This window comes from Homo sapiens, chromosome 1 (genome assembly GCF_000001405.40).
Source record: "Homo sapiens chromosome 1, GRCh38.p14 Primary Assembly".
NCBI classification, from domain to species: domain Eukaryota; kingdom Metazoa; phylum Chordata; class Mammalia; order Primates; family Hominidae; genus Homo; species Homo sapiens.
Window position 1 is genome coordinate 243635598 of NC_000001.11, and position 16995 is coordinate 243652592.

Below are 16995 nucleotides of genomic sequence, written 5' to 3' on the forward strand. Positions count from 1 at the left end.
CCACTGATATGGGTGTTAAAATTAGTACCTAAAAGTTTAAGAAAAAATAGGTTATTTATATAGTCCCAGAGTATTTCCTCTAAGATACTGATTACTTATGAATGGAAAAAATAGCAACTTTAAAGTGAAGAAACACAGTAGACACCACTGTAGTCAAGCAATCAAAATTAACATCACCAGTAAAAAGATATCAAAATCATTTCTTCCCTGATATGTTGCTCTGAGAAGGGCACAGCAGGAACCAAACCCCAGGTCTTGTCACACTCCAAATCTTCATAGTGTTAATCATCTTGCTATAAATGAGCATATTTTCTTTCAAGAAACGATAAATAGATTTGTTGGGAGAAAGCAGCAAGGCACTACTTCAATCAGAATAGTCTATCATTTGTGAAATATACGTAGTTCTGTACAGTTACTCAGAAAAGTGTAAGTAGTGAGATAAGACAGTGTCTAATAGGATATTCCCCAGTCTGATGAACAGAAATTAAATAATGGGATACAAGTGAGGCTAATATATAAAAGAAAAAACAGAATGGAATAGATATTTACTGATGCTTGATACACAGTAGGTAGTAATAATACACAGTAGGTAGTAATAATAGTAATAATAATTATAGCAAATATTTATAACAATAGCATATTTTAATTTCATTTGATTTGTAATTTAATTTGTTAAGTTTATTTAATACTGATGGCATGTACTATTATATTTATCTATTCATTTAACCCTGAAAATAACCATATGAGGCAGGTACTACTATTAGCCCCACTCTGTAGATAAGAAAATAAAGGCATAAAAAGTTGGATCACTTACTAAGCAGCAAAACCTACCTGACATTATACTACCTCCCAGAAAATATCAGCTTAATTAATAATAAGTGCCAGCTAGGATGCTAAATACCTTACATATCCCAATCCTCAAAATATTCCTGTCCAGAGGTTTTATTATACCAATTTAAATGAAAAAAACTAAGGCTCTGATTGGTTGCCCAACACACTGCAAGATATTGAGCACATTCGGCTTCTACCTGGTAACTGTCAGAAGTACCCCTCCTCCTCAGTTACTGTGATAAGCAAATATGTGCCCCCCATAAACATTTCCAAATGCCCCTAAGAGACCAGTACTTCCCCAAAGTACTGCTTTAAAAAGTACTGGTTGTTAAAGACTATTAGGTGAGTAGTGAACCTAGGTGTGTATGATTCCAAAGCCAATGTTCTTTCCAATAGGGGCATTGACTTGTAAAGGAGTTGAGGTCAAAACAAATGTACAAAGACAGGGAAACAAAGTTTCACAAAGTGTAAGGGGCAATACACTCCAGATGAGGAAACTATAGTAGCAAATAACTGGAAGTTGAAGTAGTCCATAAAGTATAACAGTAATTTATGTCATTTGTTGAATTAAGTAAGACTTAAAGCATGGACCAATTTGTAAAGTGTATCTCCTGAGGGAATTGGGATTTTGTTCAGAACTCTGAGTGAGAACTGACATCATTAACATGTTATTTATTTAAAAAGGTCTAAGCTGAATAAAGGTATGGGGGTGGGAAGTAAGTCTTCCTAAAATAATTTATTTTAATTTCACCATTCTAGTATTTTCAAATCTATTTAGGATGTTTTTCCATTCAATGTTATATAAGCTTTAGAATTTATGAGTAAAAATCATCTACACTAGTCAATCTTAATAAGAAATTCAGAACGATAGGAGAAATTATTAAAAAGCAATCCTAGTATAATTATGATATAGATCACAAAACATTCTCCCAAACATGCAAACATAAACATTTCTATTTCCTTAAGAGAATAGCTTTAGTATATAATATACAAATATTATGAATGTCTGAAAACTTTAAAAATTACAAATATTAATACACAAAAATTACTGTAGCAGTAGTCTACAACCATATTTTGGTTGTTTAATGGAATTTGCATACATTAGCATGTAAATTCATGAGCCCACAAACACATGCACACTGCAAACAAAAATTTAGTAATCAACTTTAATAAATCAGTTACCTTTGCAATAATGACTTCTTTCTTCAGAATCTTCATAGCATAGTATTTTCCACTTGCCTTCTCTCGAACCAAAATAACTTTCCCAAAAGTGCCTTTACCTAGTAGTTTCAAATAGTCAAAATCATTCATTGTCTGAAAAATACAAATTAAAAAATATAATATGAAGTATTTGATGCAATTTATTTGTTAGCATATATATATGTGTTTGCAATATCCACTCAAAACCAAATTTTACCAATTTATAAGCACATTTAAATGAAAAAGAATCAGACTGGCATTGGCTGTCTCATTAGCAACCATGGATGCTGAAAATAATTTAAGCAGTTCTCAGATGTTGGAGAAAATGATTTTGAACCTAGAATTCCTCAGCGAAATTATCAGTTGTGTAAAAGGGCAAAGGAGGAAAAAAATTATTTTCACTCATTTTTAAGGACTCAAGTTTTCAAGGATTTAGTAGTGCTGCTACCCCCAGAAAATGTGATAATCAAAAATGTTCCACACAAACATTTCCAAATATGCCTAAAAAAGCAGTGCTTTGGAAGGAGCTATCTGAGAATTTACTCTAGCAAAATAAAGATAAAATCCAAGAAAGAGAGAGATATAGGATATATTTATAAGAAATGTCGAGAACCTCGTATACTTCAGTTAAAATAAATCAAAGAAAGCAGTTGTTATTCCTGAGAGAGTACTTTATGCAATTCAGAACAGCAAGGAAGGGAGCTCTAAGAAGAATATCTTTAATTAATGTGCCTGTTTTCAGTTTCACTTCTCTTTCTTAAGTCAGGTAATCCTGAGGATTTTGCCAGTCACACGTGCCACTTGTTCTCTACAGTCCCCTCTATGTACTCTTTTCCTGCTCTGCTCTATCAACATTCTTCCAGAAACTTCCAAACTTTTGAAGGCATTTGTGCCCTAATGCCCCTCCCCGACCCAGCTTTTCATTTTTGTGGACTTGCCTCCTTTTGAAATTCCTTTACTTTCATATTAATAGGTTTTTGAAGAGAAGAGAAGGTAATTGTATATGATCAGTTTACATAAATTTAAACTCAGTTTAGAGGTTTATAAATATCAAATAAGTATTTGGGTTTTATCTTGAAATTACAAGTCACTGAAAATTTTAGTGCCTTTTATAACTTTTTTTTTCTGTTTATCATTTATCTAAAGTAAACGTGAGAAATATTTCAAATCAATTGTTTCAGTTTCCACCTTAACAAACTTAAAAAAAAAGCAAGTTAACCCAAAAGAGTTAGAAGAAAATGATACAGATCAGAGCAGAAATCAATTAAATTTTTAAAAGAAAGAAAAAGAGTAGAGAAAAAATCAGTGAAACCAAAAGCTAGTTCTAAAAGATCAATAAAAATTGATAAGCCTCTGGCCAGGTTGGTCAGAAAAATAGAGAAGACACAAATTACCAATATCAGGAATGACAGAGGTGGCATCACTACAGATTCTACAGATATTAAAAGAAACGTAAGAGACTATTATAAATGGCATTTTGACAATAAAATTGACACCTTTGATGAAATGAACAAATTGCTTGAAAGTCTCAAGCTTTGAAAGCTCTTTCTTTGAAAGAAACAGATAACTTGATAACCCCATATTTATTAAGAAAAATTGAGTCTGTGGTTAAATACCTTTCATCAAAGAAAACTCCAGGCCCAGATGGTTTCACTGGTGAATTCTACAGACATTTAAACAAGAAATGACACCAATTTTATACAAATTCTTTCTGAAAATTAAAATGAGGAATACTTCTCATTCATTCTGAGACAAGCATCATCCTGATACTGAGATAGGAGTTTGGCAGGTCTCCTTTCACAAGATGCAGGTCACAAAGACCCTGCTGGTAAAACAGGATACAGTAAAGAAGCCAGTCAAAACCCACCAAAACCAAGATGGTGATGAAAGTGACCTCCGGTTGTCCCCACTGCTCATTATACATTCATTATAATATATTATCATGCCAAAGGAACCTCCCATCAGTGCCATGACAGTTTACAAATGCCATGACATATCGGGAAGTTACCCTGTATGGTCTGAAAACGGGGGAAACTGTCAGTTCTGGGAATTCCCTGCCCCTTCACCAGAAAACTCAGGAGTAATCCACCCCTTGTTTAGCATATGATTAAAAAATAACCACAAAAATAGCCAACCAGTAGCCATCAGGGCTGCTCTGCCTATGGAGTAGCCACCCTTTCATTCTTTTACTTTCTTAATAAACTTGCTTTCACTTTATTCTGTTGTTTGCTCTTGAATTCCTTCTTGTGTGAAGCCAAGAACCCATGTGGTCTCCCAGGCTGAACCCCAATTTTTTGACAATACCAAAATGAGAGGAAAACAATGCAAGAAAACTACATCCCAATATCTCTCATGTATATTACATAAAAATTCTTAAAATTTTAGAAATGCCTACGTTCACTTTCAACATTTTTTGCTGCTCATATTTTTTATAATTTTCCCCAAATGTCAAATTAAAGTGTCTTACATTCAATAATATCTCTAGTTCAAAGATAAAGTAGCAAAGAGATAGCAGGGAAAATAATAAGATATATTAATTCAACTAAAAATCAAACATGTAGCTCTAAATATCAAATATAGTAAATCAGCTAGTGTCATTTGAACAAATAACAGGTAATATTAGATTTAATTGCATTAATAGAGCAGAAAAAATCAGGGAATACTACATAACAAGCTATTTGTGCTAGGTAGTCTGCAAAGATGGCTGCCACAAATTCCCATTTCTCCCTGTATGCACATTCCACTCTTCCCATGAAGGGGTGGAGTCAACTTTCTCTCTCCCCGGGCTAACCCTGTATCTTGCTTTGAACACAGAATATGATCAAACTGATACTATGCCAGTAACAGACAAAGCCTTTAAGCCTGGCAGTTTATGCGTTCTCTCTCTTGGAAAGCTCTAGAAAGCCAGCTCTAATGCTGTCAGTTAGTCCATATTATCCTGCTGGAGAGAGAGGCCATGTGGAGAGACCCTGGAAGATAAATTACCACTCCGAGAGAGAGACCAAGTGGAGGAGAACCAAGACACCATAGCCAACAGTCAGCACCAAGGCCCCAGACACATAAGGAAGGTTTTGTTGGATTTTCCAGCCCACCCATGTATAAGCTGTAGGCAGCTGATTGAGAGCCATGCATGCAAGACCAACAGAGTGGCCCAAACTACAAAATCATGAGATATTTACATGGCTATTGTTTTAAGACATTAAATTTGAGGTAGTTTGTTCCACAGCGTGAGGGTTAATACTGAGTGTCAATTTGATTGTATTGAAAGATGCAAAATATTGATCCTGGGTGTATCTGTGAGGGTGTTGCCAAAGGAGATTAATATTTGAGTCAGTGGGCTGGGAAAGGCATACCCACCCTTAAGCCGGGTGGGCACCATCTAATCAGCTGCCAGTGTGGCTAGAATATAAAGCAGGCAGAAAAACATGAAAAGGCTAGACTGGCTTAGCCTCCCAGCCTACGTCTTTCTGCTGTGCTGGAGGCTTCCTGCCCTCGAACATCAACTCCAAGTTCTTCAGCACTGGGACTCAAACTGGCTTCCTTGCTCCTCAGTTTGCAGATGGCCTATTGTGGAACCTTGTGATCGTGTGTTTAATACTCCTTAATAAACTCCATATATATGTGTGTGTGTATATATATATATATACACACACACACACACGCACACACACACACATACATATATACACACATATATATATATATATTATTAATTCTGTCCCTCTAGAGAACCCTAATACACATGGCAAGTAACTCAGAAACATTATTTTCATAACCAGGCCAGAGTGTCAATTTATTGCTCAAAGTTTCATTTGGACAGTATGTTCCTCATTTTTTTATTTAAAAGCACTAGAAAATAATACTTGCTGTGCCTTATTATTAAATATCATAGAAAATGAAATTGAATTATTGGGGGGTAAAAATTAGAAAACAATCTGTAAAATGCTTTATGACATTTTCAGTTGAAAACAATATTTAATTATAAAATATTACTATATTCCTTAAGAATTGCAATCCTTATTCTTGGCTGGGCGTGGTGGCTCACACCTGTAATCCCACAATTTGAAAGACCAAGGCAGGTGGATCACTTGAGTGCATGAGTTTGAGACCAGCCTGGGCAACATGGCAAAACCCTGTCTCTACAAAAAAATACAAAAATTAGCCAAGTGCAGTGGCAGGTGTCTGTAGTCCCAGCTACCTGGGAGGCTGAGTTGGGAGAATTACCTGAGCCTGTGAAGTTAAGGCTGCAGTGAGTCACGATTGTGCCACTGCACTCCAGCCTAAGTGATAGGAGTGAGACCTTGTCTCAAATGAAAATAAATAAATAAGTAAATAGTAAAATTGCAATTCTTAGGAACAATGAGGCTAAAAAAAAAGTATGACAGCCTTCACTGAACTTCACAGCTTGTCAGTTTGACTCTCAATCTTTAAAAAAAAGGGAATTTACATGGAAATTACTATTAGTTAAAAAGCACTGTATGTGATAAAATCAGAAACAGATTTCCCATCTATTTTGACAGAACTTCAGGAAATTAAAAAGGTATTTTTGCTATCAAATGCTCATGGTCAGAATGGTATACACAGTAATTGTGTAGTCTTTACAAATGAAATGTACACTATTACAAAATGTTTTGGTCTTCTGGATGATGTTATGGAAAAAGATACAGTAAGTCCTTTTTTTTGTTTGTTTGTTTGTTTTGAGACGGAGTCTCGCTCTGTCGCCCAGGCTAGAGTGCAGTGGCACGATCTCGGCTCACTGCAAGCTCTGCCTCCTGAGATCACGACATTCTCCTGCCTCAGCCTCCCGAGTAGCTGGGACTACAGGCGCCCGCCACCACGCCTGGTTAATTTTTTGTATTTTTAGTAGAGACGGGGTTTCACCGTGTTAGCCAGGATGGTCTCGATCTCCTGACCTTGTGATCCGCCCACCTTGGCCTCCCAAAGTGCTGGGATTACAGGCGTGAGCCACCACGCCCAGCCACAGTAAGTCTTTAATAAAAATATAGGAGTATGAATACTCTCCAGAAAAATAATCCTCCTCCAAAGCCTGATCTTAAGAATTTATTGGGGAAATACTTTACAGTTACACTCTTCCCTTTACATGTTTACGTGGCTGTTTTAGGTAAAGAGATACATGGGCATATATAACAAATGCTTAATAAATGTGTTCAAATCAGGCACACCAGAATATAAGACACTGTCTAGCCCACAAATTAGATTAAAAATAAACATATAATCAATGAGGAACATAAAGAACTTCCAAGAATACCACAGTATTAGCATATTTGGTCAAAAAAAGATAAATTCCAGATACATTTACAATGTAACAGCAAAACCAAGTAAGTAGAAAGAGGAAAAGAGCTCTGACGAAGTTCACTCCTTTGCCTCCATCTCTGCCCACTTCTCCTGGTGCTCTTTCTCACGGGAAGAGGTGGAGCTAATGTTATTAGTCAACTTCTACATTGGTTACGTCGCTTCTCCCTTTTAAATAAGCAGATTCATGCAGTGTGAGATCATGAGATTTCAGCAGGTCTGGCCATTGTTCTTTTTTTCCTTCTCTTTTTCTCTGGATACTGGCCACTGGTATGAGTTACTACAGCCAGGAATTAGGTGATACAATCCCAAGAACTGGAGTCAAACTTAGTGGGAAAGCAGGAGGCACTGCTTATACTTTAAACGTAAATCATGAGATTATAGCCAGTTGATCCCAGAGAAGCTTATGCTAGTCTGTTAAAAATTAAGCAGAATTTTGACTCTCACTTGGCTTTTTATCCTTTTATGCTATGCCCCTTCACATACTTGACAAGGCATACAAGAATGGTAGCTTGGCTGACCAAGATTAGGCACTTCTGGGTTCTCTAAGCAAATTCCTCTGAAACGCTATCTTTTAATTAAAACATAGAACCACATTTTCTTTTAATTCAAACAAAGAAGAGCACTTAAATCTGTCTGTGAGGCCCTTGCCTCTTTACACCCAACATCCTTCCTTTCCAATTGAGTTTTTAACTGGCAGAGCAGACACTGTGGCGATAATCCACCACTAAGGGAGGTAACGAACCCTATTTCATGCAAGAAATAGCAGTCTGACAACTGTCACCATAGCCATCATAATCAGTACCTATTCTTTTAATCCTATTGCCATTTGGCAAAAATTAAAGAAGGAAATGTATCCTATAAATTATTAGAATAATATTCTTATTTCACAATGTGTGGTTATAGTCTTAAAAATAATCCAAACTTCTGCAATTCTTTGCATGATAATTGATATACATAAGGGTATAGTTCTAGAATCATTTATCTTATGAAAATGACAGTAATATTTTACCACTTGAGGCTAAGTCATTAGGACCGTTATGGAGTTAGTAGTGGTACAAATGTTCTTTTTCTGCACTAACTTCTGCAGTAATTTAGAACTATTTTAAATTATTTCAAAAAAGTTAACAGAACTTCAAACATATAAGATCTTTTAATTGTATACTGTAACACGTCAATATACAGCTTATTTCTTTTTCTTGGTTCATATATCTTGAGCCTCTCTAATCTCTATAATTTTTATGCTTATAATGAAGTTATATTAGAAACAAAATTATGCAGATATTCTCTTATGACTATACTCTGTTTCTCAAAATATTATGAAAAACTGTTGTCCTTATATGACATTTGGATATTAGTTAATTTCAATTGATAATAAAGCTTGTAAATTCTTGAAAAAACCAGTAGAACTTTACTATCACAACCTAGTGCTAGAAAGGGAGGAGTTCAGATCTTACTGCCTGGGGTTAAGTACTGGCTCCCACCCTGTGTGTAATTAAGGGGAAAATTTCTTAATCCTTCCATCCTTTATTTCCCTTAACTATAAAACAGGAATAATAATGGTACTTAACTTATAGTTGAAGTTCAAAATGAAAAAAAAAATGTTTAAAGTGTTTATGTAATACGTGCTCAATAAATATTAGCTATTAAAGTTAGCTACTATTCTTTGTCCACATAAAGATAATTAAACATAAACATCACTCTAAAACATCTTCTCTTAGAATTTTTTACTCCAACTGAGTCTCCAAAAAGAAAAATCCATAGAGGTATTTTGAATTTGGGGTTCAAATACTTAACCATATCAGATTTACACTATTCTTCATTTCATTTTAAATGAAATAATTTACACATGTACAAAAGAAGCTTTCTTATCTCTGAGTAGGTAGGTGGGTGTAGCTAGACTTTGTTTTTCTTTTTGCAATGATGGAGGAACAAGGCAGATTAAATTGACGTAAAAGAAAAGAGGGATTCAGTTCAACAAACAAACAGAGTAGAAATCTACAATGAAGACAGAAAGGGATCTCAGACATTTGGCCCAGATCAAGTATAGAATATTATTCTTATTCACATAAGGAAAGGATAATTAACTTTATGTTGTGAGTGTGTAACTTCACCAAGTCCACAAGTTTAACGTGGAAAAGGGAGGATATGAACTCAGGCAGTCTATCTCCAAAGAGTTCTTAATCACTGTGCTAATACCAAATTTCATGGATAATACCTTGAAAATTTGTGTTTTCCTCCCTGAAGATTAATTTACAACCTATTAAATCAAACATATTCTAAAGTGATAAATGGCAAGCTTATCTCAACACCTCTATCTTTAATCATGAAAATATCATTTTTGTAATAAGGAAATTGCTTTTCAATTTTCTATTGCAATGAAAAAATTTATATTGCTCATAAAAATATAAATTCGTACTTATTATGCTGGAACACTGAGAGAAGGAAAAGTCTATTTCCCTACTGACTCAGAAGCAGCCATTAAATAAGAGTTATTGTTTCCAAGATTGTTCACTTTCCTGCTGACTTTACTATGACTGAGGGCACCAATCAGGAAGTACATCCGAGCCATTACTGCTCGTGCTTTTCGGGAGAATACGAAATGCGAAATGGAAAAGAACAAATCATCAGGGAAAACATTTTATTACAAAGTTTCTAAAATTGTATTAAAAATAATAAGGAAAAAATGCAAATTATAAAGTAGTGTGATGGCACATCAGTCACACATGAGCCCTATCAGCATTCAGTGCTAAAGTGCTGGATCACTGAAACAATGTTCACCTATTTGGTTTTAAACAACAACAGGTATTTCAGATTCATGTGAATAAGACCCACCAATATATTTACATATCGTAAGAAAACTGGCTGACATCTTTCTGCAAATGGTAGCTTTTAATATGTTTCTTCCAGACAAATGAATGCTGTGCTGGGAATAAGTTATTATTTTCTACCTTTCTTTTATGATGGGTTGTAGAGGCATCCATCTCTTCCTCTCCTATATTATCAATTTGTGAAGTTGGACTACAATTCATTCTCTCCTCTTCTTGCCTCTGCAGTCTGTCTGCTACAGCCTGGATAGCTTCTGTCCATTCTTCCCTATAAAAATGAGTAAAATTTCCCATTAATAGAAGATGGTAAATGATTTAAATATTTTCCTTTTATAAACTATGAAATCAATACAAATAAAATCTATTCAGAGATCAAACACACTCAACACAGATAAGCATACACTCTCACCATCACCCCAAAGTGAAAATAATCCTAAGAGCATTTCATTCACCACATGCCTAAAGTCTGTAGTAGCATTTTTTGGAAGTATGTTAAAGAAAAAAAGAGAAGAAAAAAATTGTTGAAAACTCGAGTTAAAATCATTTACATGAAAAGTTAAATTTTATTTGTCTGTACATATATATATCCTACTTTTTTTTTTTTGGAAACGGTCTCACTCTGTTGCCCAAGCTGGAGTTCAATAGCATGATCTCAGCTCACTGCAACCTCCACCTCGTGGGTTCAAGTGATTCTCCTGTCTCAGCCTCCTGAGTAGCCGGGATTACAGGCGTGTGACACAATGCCTGACTAATTTTTGTATTTTTAGTAGAGACGGGGTTTCACCATGTTGGCCAGGCTGGTCTCGAACTCCTGACCTCAAGTGATCCATCCGCCATGGCCTCCCAAAGTGCTGGGATTACAGCCATGAACCACCGCACTTGGCCAATCCTAACTATTAAGTTGACCCCCTAAAAGTTTGCTGCAGTTTTTAGAAGTGTTTTGCTTAGCTATTTTAAGTCCATCATTGACATCCTGAAGATTTCTATGAGGTCCAACAGACATTCCAAGGAAAGGTTTTCAAAGCCAAAACCTTTCATTGTTTCCAGATCATAGTAAATTTCTTAGAAAAAATTAAAAAAAAGGATACAGCTTGTAGTTTGAACAATCAGTCTCAGGAGCATTTATATCAAGCATTTATTTTTTGACATTTGGTTATCAGACCAAGGATCATTATTTTTCCATGTGAATTTTAAAATCAGCTTGTCTACTTCTTAAAGTCTATTTGGATTTTGACTGGAATTACATTAAATCTATAGATGAATTTTGGGAAAACTACCATCGTAATCATTTAAATCTTCCAATCCATGAACATGGTATAGCTCTACATTTATACAGGTCTTTAATTTCCCAATGCAATGTTTGTAATTTTCTGTGTAAAGATCTTTCACATCTTTAACTGAATTTATTCCTACATACAATCATGCACCACATAACAATGTTTCAGTCAATGATGGACTGCATATACGATGGCAGTCCCCTAAGATTATTACACTGTATTTTTACTGTACCCTTCCTATGCTTATATGTTTAGATACATAAATACTTACCATTGCATTACAATTGTCTATAGTATTCAGTACACTAACATGCTGTACAGGTTTGTAAACTGTGAGCAACAGGCTACACCAAATAGCCTAGGTATGGGGTGGGCTATACCATCTAGGTTTGTCCAAGTAGTATGTTTACACAATGTTCCTAATGACATGTTTCTCAAAACGTATCACTGTCATTAAGTGACACAAGACTGTTCTTTTATGCTATTGTGGAGGGTTTTATTTCACTTTCTAATTGTACTTATTAGTATTTAAAAATACAATTGATTTTTGTATATTGACTTTGTATACTGCAACTTTATTAAATTCATTTATTAGTTCCAGTCACTCTTATTTTTCTGCATTTTCTACACATGCAACCATGTGGTATGCAAACAAGAGCAGCTTTACTTGTTTCCAATCCGTATGCTTTTTACATCTTTTTCTTGCTTTATTGCCCTAGATCAGACCTGCAGTACAAAGTTAAATGAAAGTAAACAGCAGCATACATGCTTTGTTTCACAAGTTAGGAATAACATTGTTTTCATCCCCCTTGAATATTATGTAAGTTGTAGATCTTCTATATAACATTTACTTAATCAACTAAGTTCTATTCTATTTCTAGCCATCTGCATATTTTTAATGAAAGTTTGTTGAATTTTTGTCAAATGTAGGCCAGGTGCAGTGGCTCATGCCTGTGATCCCAGCACTTTGGGAGACTGAGGTGGGCGGATTACCTGAGGTCAGGAGTTCAAGACCAGCCTGGCCAACATGGTGAAACCTCGTCTCTACAAAAAATACAAAAATTAGCTGGATGTGCTGGCAGGAGCCTGTAATCCCAGCTACTCGGGAGACTGAGACATGAGAATCACTTGAACCCAGGAAATGGAGGTTGCAGTGAGCTGAAATCACACCATGGCACTCCAGTGAGGGTGACAGAGCAAGACTCCGTCTAAAAAAAAAAAAAAGAAAAGAAAAGAAAAAGAAAATAAAACTGTCAAATTCTTTTTCTGTATCTCTATAAAATGATCACACAGATTTTTAACTTTATCATATTAATATGGTGAAATTAGCTTAATAGTTTCCAGATGTTAACACAACTTTGAATTCTTGGGAGAAGCTCCATTTGGCCACATAACTTAAGCTTTTATGCTTTTTACCTATTGTTTAATTTGTTGATACTTTGTTAAGAAATTCTGCATATGTTCACAAGTGTATTGGGCTATAGTTGTCTTTTCTTAAAATAGTTCTGTCTGATTTCTGAAATGAGGGTGACAGTGGCCTTATAAAATAAGTTGAGAAGTACTCCCTTCTCATTATTTTCTCAAACAGCTTGTAGAGGATTGGTCAAATTTCTAACTTAAATGTTTGACAGAACGCACCAATAAGGCTGTCTGGGCTTGGAACCTTTGAGGAAAGGTTCTTAATTACTAATTCACTTCCATTCATTGATATTGGGTTTTCTAATGTTTTCTTGGATGTCAGTAATTTGTGTCTTCCCTCTTTTTCCTTTAACAATACCCCAAAACGTTTTTCAATTCTATTAATTTTTTTCAAAGAGTACTTTTGGTTTTATTAATTATTCTCTACTATTTTTCTGTTTTCTATTTCACTAATTTCTGATTGCTGTTGTTTCTGTTTTCTTTTGGTTTATTTTTCTGGTTTCTTAAGATACAAGCTTAAGTTAACGATGTGAGAAATTTCTTCTTTTCAAATACAGGTATTTAAGGCTACAAATTTCCTTCTAAGCATTCATTTAGCTACACCCCACAAATTTTGATATGTATTATTTTCATTATTGTTCATTTAAAATTATTTTCTAATGGCTCTTGTGAGTTTTTTGACCCAATGATTATAAAAAATTATGTTAATTTCCAGTAATTGACATCTATTGTCTTACTGTTATTGATTTCTAATTAATTCTGTGGATTACAGAACATACACCATATAACTTTCATCTTCCAAAATGTACTCAGAATTATTTTATGACCAAGAATATGTTATGTGTATATGTGTGTGTGTGTGTGTGTGTGTGTGTGTGTGTGTGTGTGTGTGTATGTTGGGTGTGTGTGTGTGTATATATATATGTTATGTGTATATATATATACACATACACACATACATACACACTTTAAGTTCTGGGGTACATGTGCAGAATGTGCAGTTTTCTTACATGGGTATACATGTGTCATGGCGGTTTGCTGTGCCCATCAATCCGTCACCTATATTAGGTTATTTCTGCTAATGCTATCCCTCCCCTAGCCCCCAACTCCCTGACAGGCCCCAGTATGTGATGTTCCCCTCCCTGTGTCCATGTGTTCTCATTGTTCAACTCCCACTTATGAATGAGAACATGGGATGTTTGGTTTTCTATTCTTGTGATAGTTGGTTGAGAATGATGGTTTCCAGCTTCATCCATGTGCCTGCAAAGGACATGAACTCATCCTTTTTTATGGCTGCATAGTATTCCATGGTGTATATGTACCACACTTTTTTTATCCCGTCTATCACTGATGGACATTTGGGTTGGTTCCAAGTCTTTGCTATTGTGAATAGTGCCGCAATAAACATACGTGTGCATGTGTCTTTATGGTAGAATGATTTATAATCCTTTGGGTATATACCCACTAATGGGATTGCTAGGTCAAATGGTATTTCTAGTTCTAGATCCTTGAGGAATGGCCACACTGTCTTCCACAATGGTTGAACTAATTTACACTCCCACCAATAGTGTAATAGCATTCCTATTTCTCCATATCCTCTCCAGCATCTGTTGTTTCCTGACTTTTTAATGATTGCCATTCTAACTGGTGTGAGATGGTATCTCATTGTGTTTTGATTTGCATTTCTCTAATGACCAGTGATGATGAGCATTTTTTCATACATTTGTTGGCTGCATAAATGTCTTTTGAGAAGTGTCTGTTCATATCCTTTGCCCACTTTTTGATGGGGTTGTTTTCTTCTTATAAATTTGTTTAAGTTCTTTGTAGATTCTGGATATTAGCCCTTTGTCAGACGAATAGATTGCAAAAATTTTCTCCCATTCTGTAGGCTGCCTGTTCTCTCTGATGATAGTTTCTTTTGCTGTGCAGAAGCTCTTTAGTTTAATTAAATCCCATTTGTCAATTTTCGCTTTTGTTGCCATTGCTTTTGGTGTTTTAGACATGAAGTCTTTGCCCATGCCTATGTCCTGAATGGTACTGCCTAGGTTTTCTTCTAGGGTTTTTATGGTTTTAGGTCTTACATTTAAGTCTTTAATCCATCTTGGGTTGATTTTTGTATAAGGTGTCAGTAAGGGGTCAGTTTCAGTTTTCTGCATATGGCTAGCCAGTTTTCCCAACACCATTTATTAAATAGGGGATCCTTTCCCCATTGCTTTTTGTCAGGTTTATCAAAGATCAGATGGTTGTAGATGTGTGGTATTATTTCTGAGGCCTCTGTTCTGTTCCATTGGTCTGTATCTCTGTTTTGGTACTAGTAGCATGCTGTTTTTGTTACTGTAGCCTTGTAGTATAGTTTGAAGTCAGGCAGCATGATGCCTCCAGCTTTGTTCTTTTTGCTCAGGATTGTCTTGGCTATGCGGGCTATTTTTTGGTTCCATATGAAGTTTAAAGTAGTTTTTTCCAGTTCTGTGAAAAAAGTCAATGGTAGCTTGATGGGGATAGCACTGAACCTATAAATTACTTTGGGCAGTATGACCATTTTCTTGATATTGATTCTTCCTATCCATGAGCACGGGTTGTTTTTCCATTTGTTTGTGTCCTCTTATTTCCTTGAGCAGTGGTTTGTAGTTCTCCTTGAAGAGGTCCTTCACATACCTTGTAATTTGGATTCCTAGGTACTTTAAGCTCTTTGCAGCAATTGTGAATGGGAGTTCACTCATGGTTTGGCTGTTTATTATTGGTGTATAGGAATGCTTGTGATTTTTGCACCTTGATTTTGTATCCTGAGACTTTGCCGAAGTTGCATATCAGCTTAAGGAGATTTGGGGCTGAGACAACGGGGTTTTCTAAACATACGATCATGTCATCTGCAAACAGAGACAATTTGACTTCCTCTCTTCCTATTTGAATATCCTTTATTTCTTTCTCTTACCTGATTTCCCTGGCCAGAACTTTCAATACTATGTTGAATAGGAGTGGTGAGAGGGGGCATCCTTGTATTGTGCCAGTTTTCAAAGGGAATGCTTCCAGTTTTTGCCCATTCAGTATGATATTTGCTGTAAGTTTGTCTTAAATAGCTGTTATTATTTTGAGATACATTCCATCGATACTTAGTTTATTGAGAGTTTTTAGCATGAAGGGGAGTTGAGTTTTGTTGAAAGCCTTTTCTGCATCTATTGAGATAATCATGTGGTTTTTGTCATTGGTTCTGTTTATGTGATGGATTACGTTTATTGATTTGTGTATGTTGCACCAGCCTTGCATCCCAGGGATGAAGCTGACTTGATCGTGGTGGATAAGCTTTCTGATGTGCTGCTGGATTCAGTTTGCCAGTATTTTACTGAGGATTTTTGCATAGATGTTCATCAGGGATACTGGCCTGACATTTTCCTTTTTTGTTGCGTCTCTGCCAGGTTTCACCAAAGTCAAAATGTAGGAAAAAATGTTGAGGGCAGCCAGAGAGAAAGGTAGGGTTTCCCACAAAGGGAAGCTCATCAGACTAACAGCGGATCTCTCTGCAGAAACCCTACAAGCCAGAAGAGAGTGGGGGCCAATACTCAACATCCTTAGAGAAAAGAATTCTTTTTTTTTTTTTTTTTCTGAGACGGAGTCTCACTCTGTCACCCAGGCTGCAGTGCAGTAGTGCAATCTTGGCTCACTGCAACCTCTGCCTCCTGGGTTCAAGAGATTGTCTGCCTCAGAATCCCAAGTAGCTAGGAGTACAGGTGTCTGCCCCCATGCTTGGCTAATTTTTTTGTATTTCTGGTAGAGTTGGGGTTTTGCCATGTTGGCCAGGCTGATCTCGAACTCCTGACCTCAGGTGATCCACCCGCCTTGGCCTCCCATAGTGCTGGAATTACAGGCAAGAAAAGAATTTTCAACCCAGAATTTCATATCCAGCCAAACTAAGCTTCGTAAGTGAAGGAGAAATAGAATGCTTTACAGACAAGCAAATGCTGAGAGGTTTTGTCACCACTACAGGGCACTAAACACGCAAAGGAACAACTGATACCAGCCACTGCAAAAACATGCTAAATTGAAAAGACCATCAACACTATGAAGAAACTGCATCAACTAATGGTCAAACTAACCAGCTAGCATCATAAAGCATCAAATTCACATGTGAC

At 35.9% G+C, this 16995-nt stretch overlaps 1 protein-coding gene across 12 annotated transcripts in view; it reads right to left on the reverse strand.

Moving 5' to 3' along the window:
• AKT3 (AKT serine/threonine kinase 3) overlaps positions 1-16995 on the reverse strand; it is a 362847-nt gene that overhangs the window by 147365 nt on the left and 198487 nt on the right. For all 12 annotated transcript variants that reach the window (NM_181690.2, NM_001370074.1, XM_047420641.1 and 9 more), the window contains 2 exons: positions 10296-10440; positions 2014-2145 (listed from right to left, as the gene is read on the reverse strand). In NM_181690.2, coding sequence (NP_859029.1) covers positions 2014-2145; positions 10296-10440 — 277 coding nt within the window. The remainder of the gene's footprint in view (positions 1-2013; positions 2146-10295; positions 10441-16995) is intronic.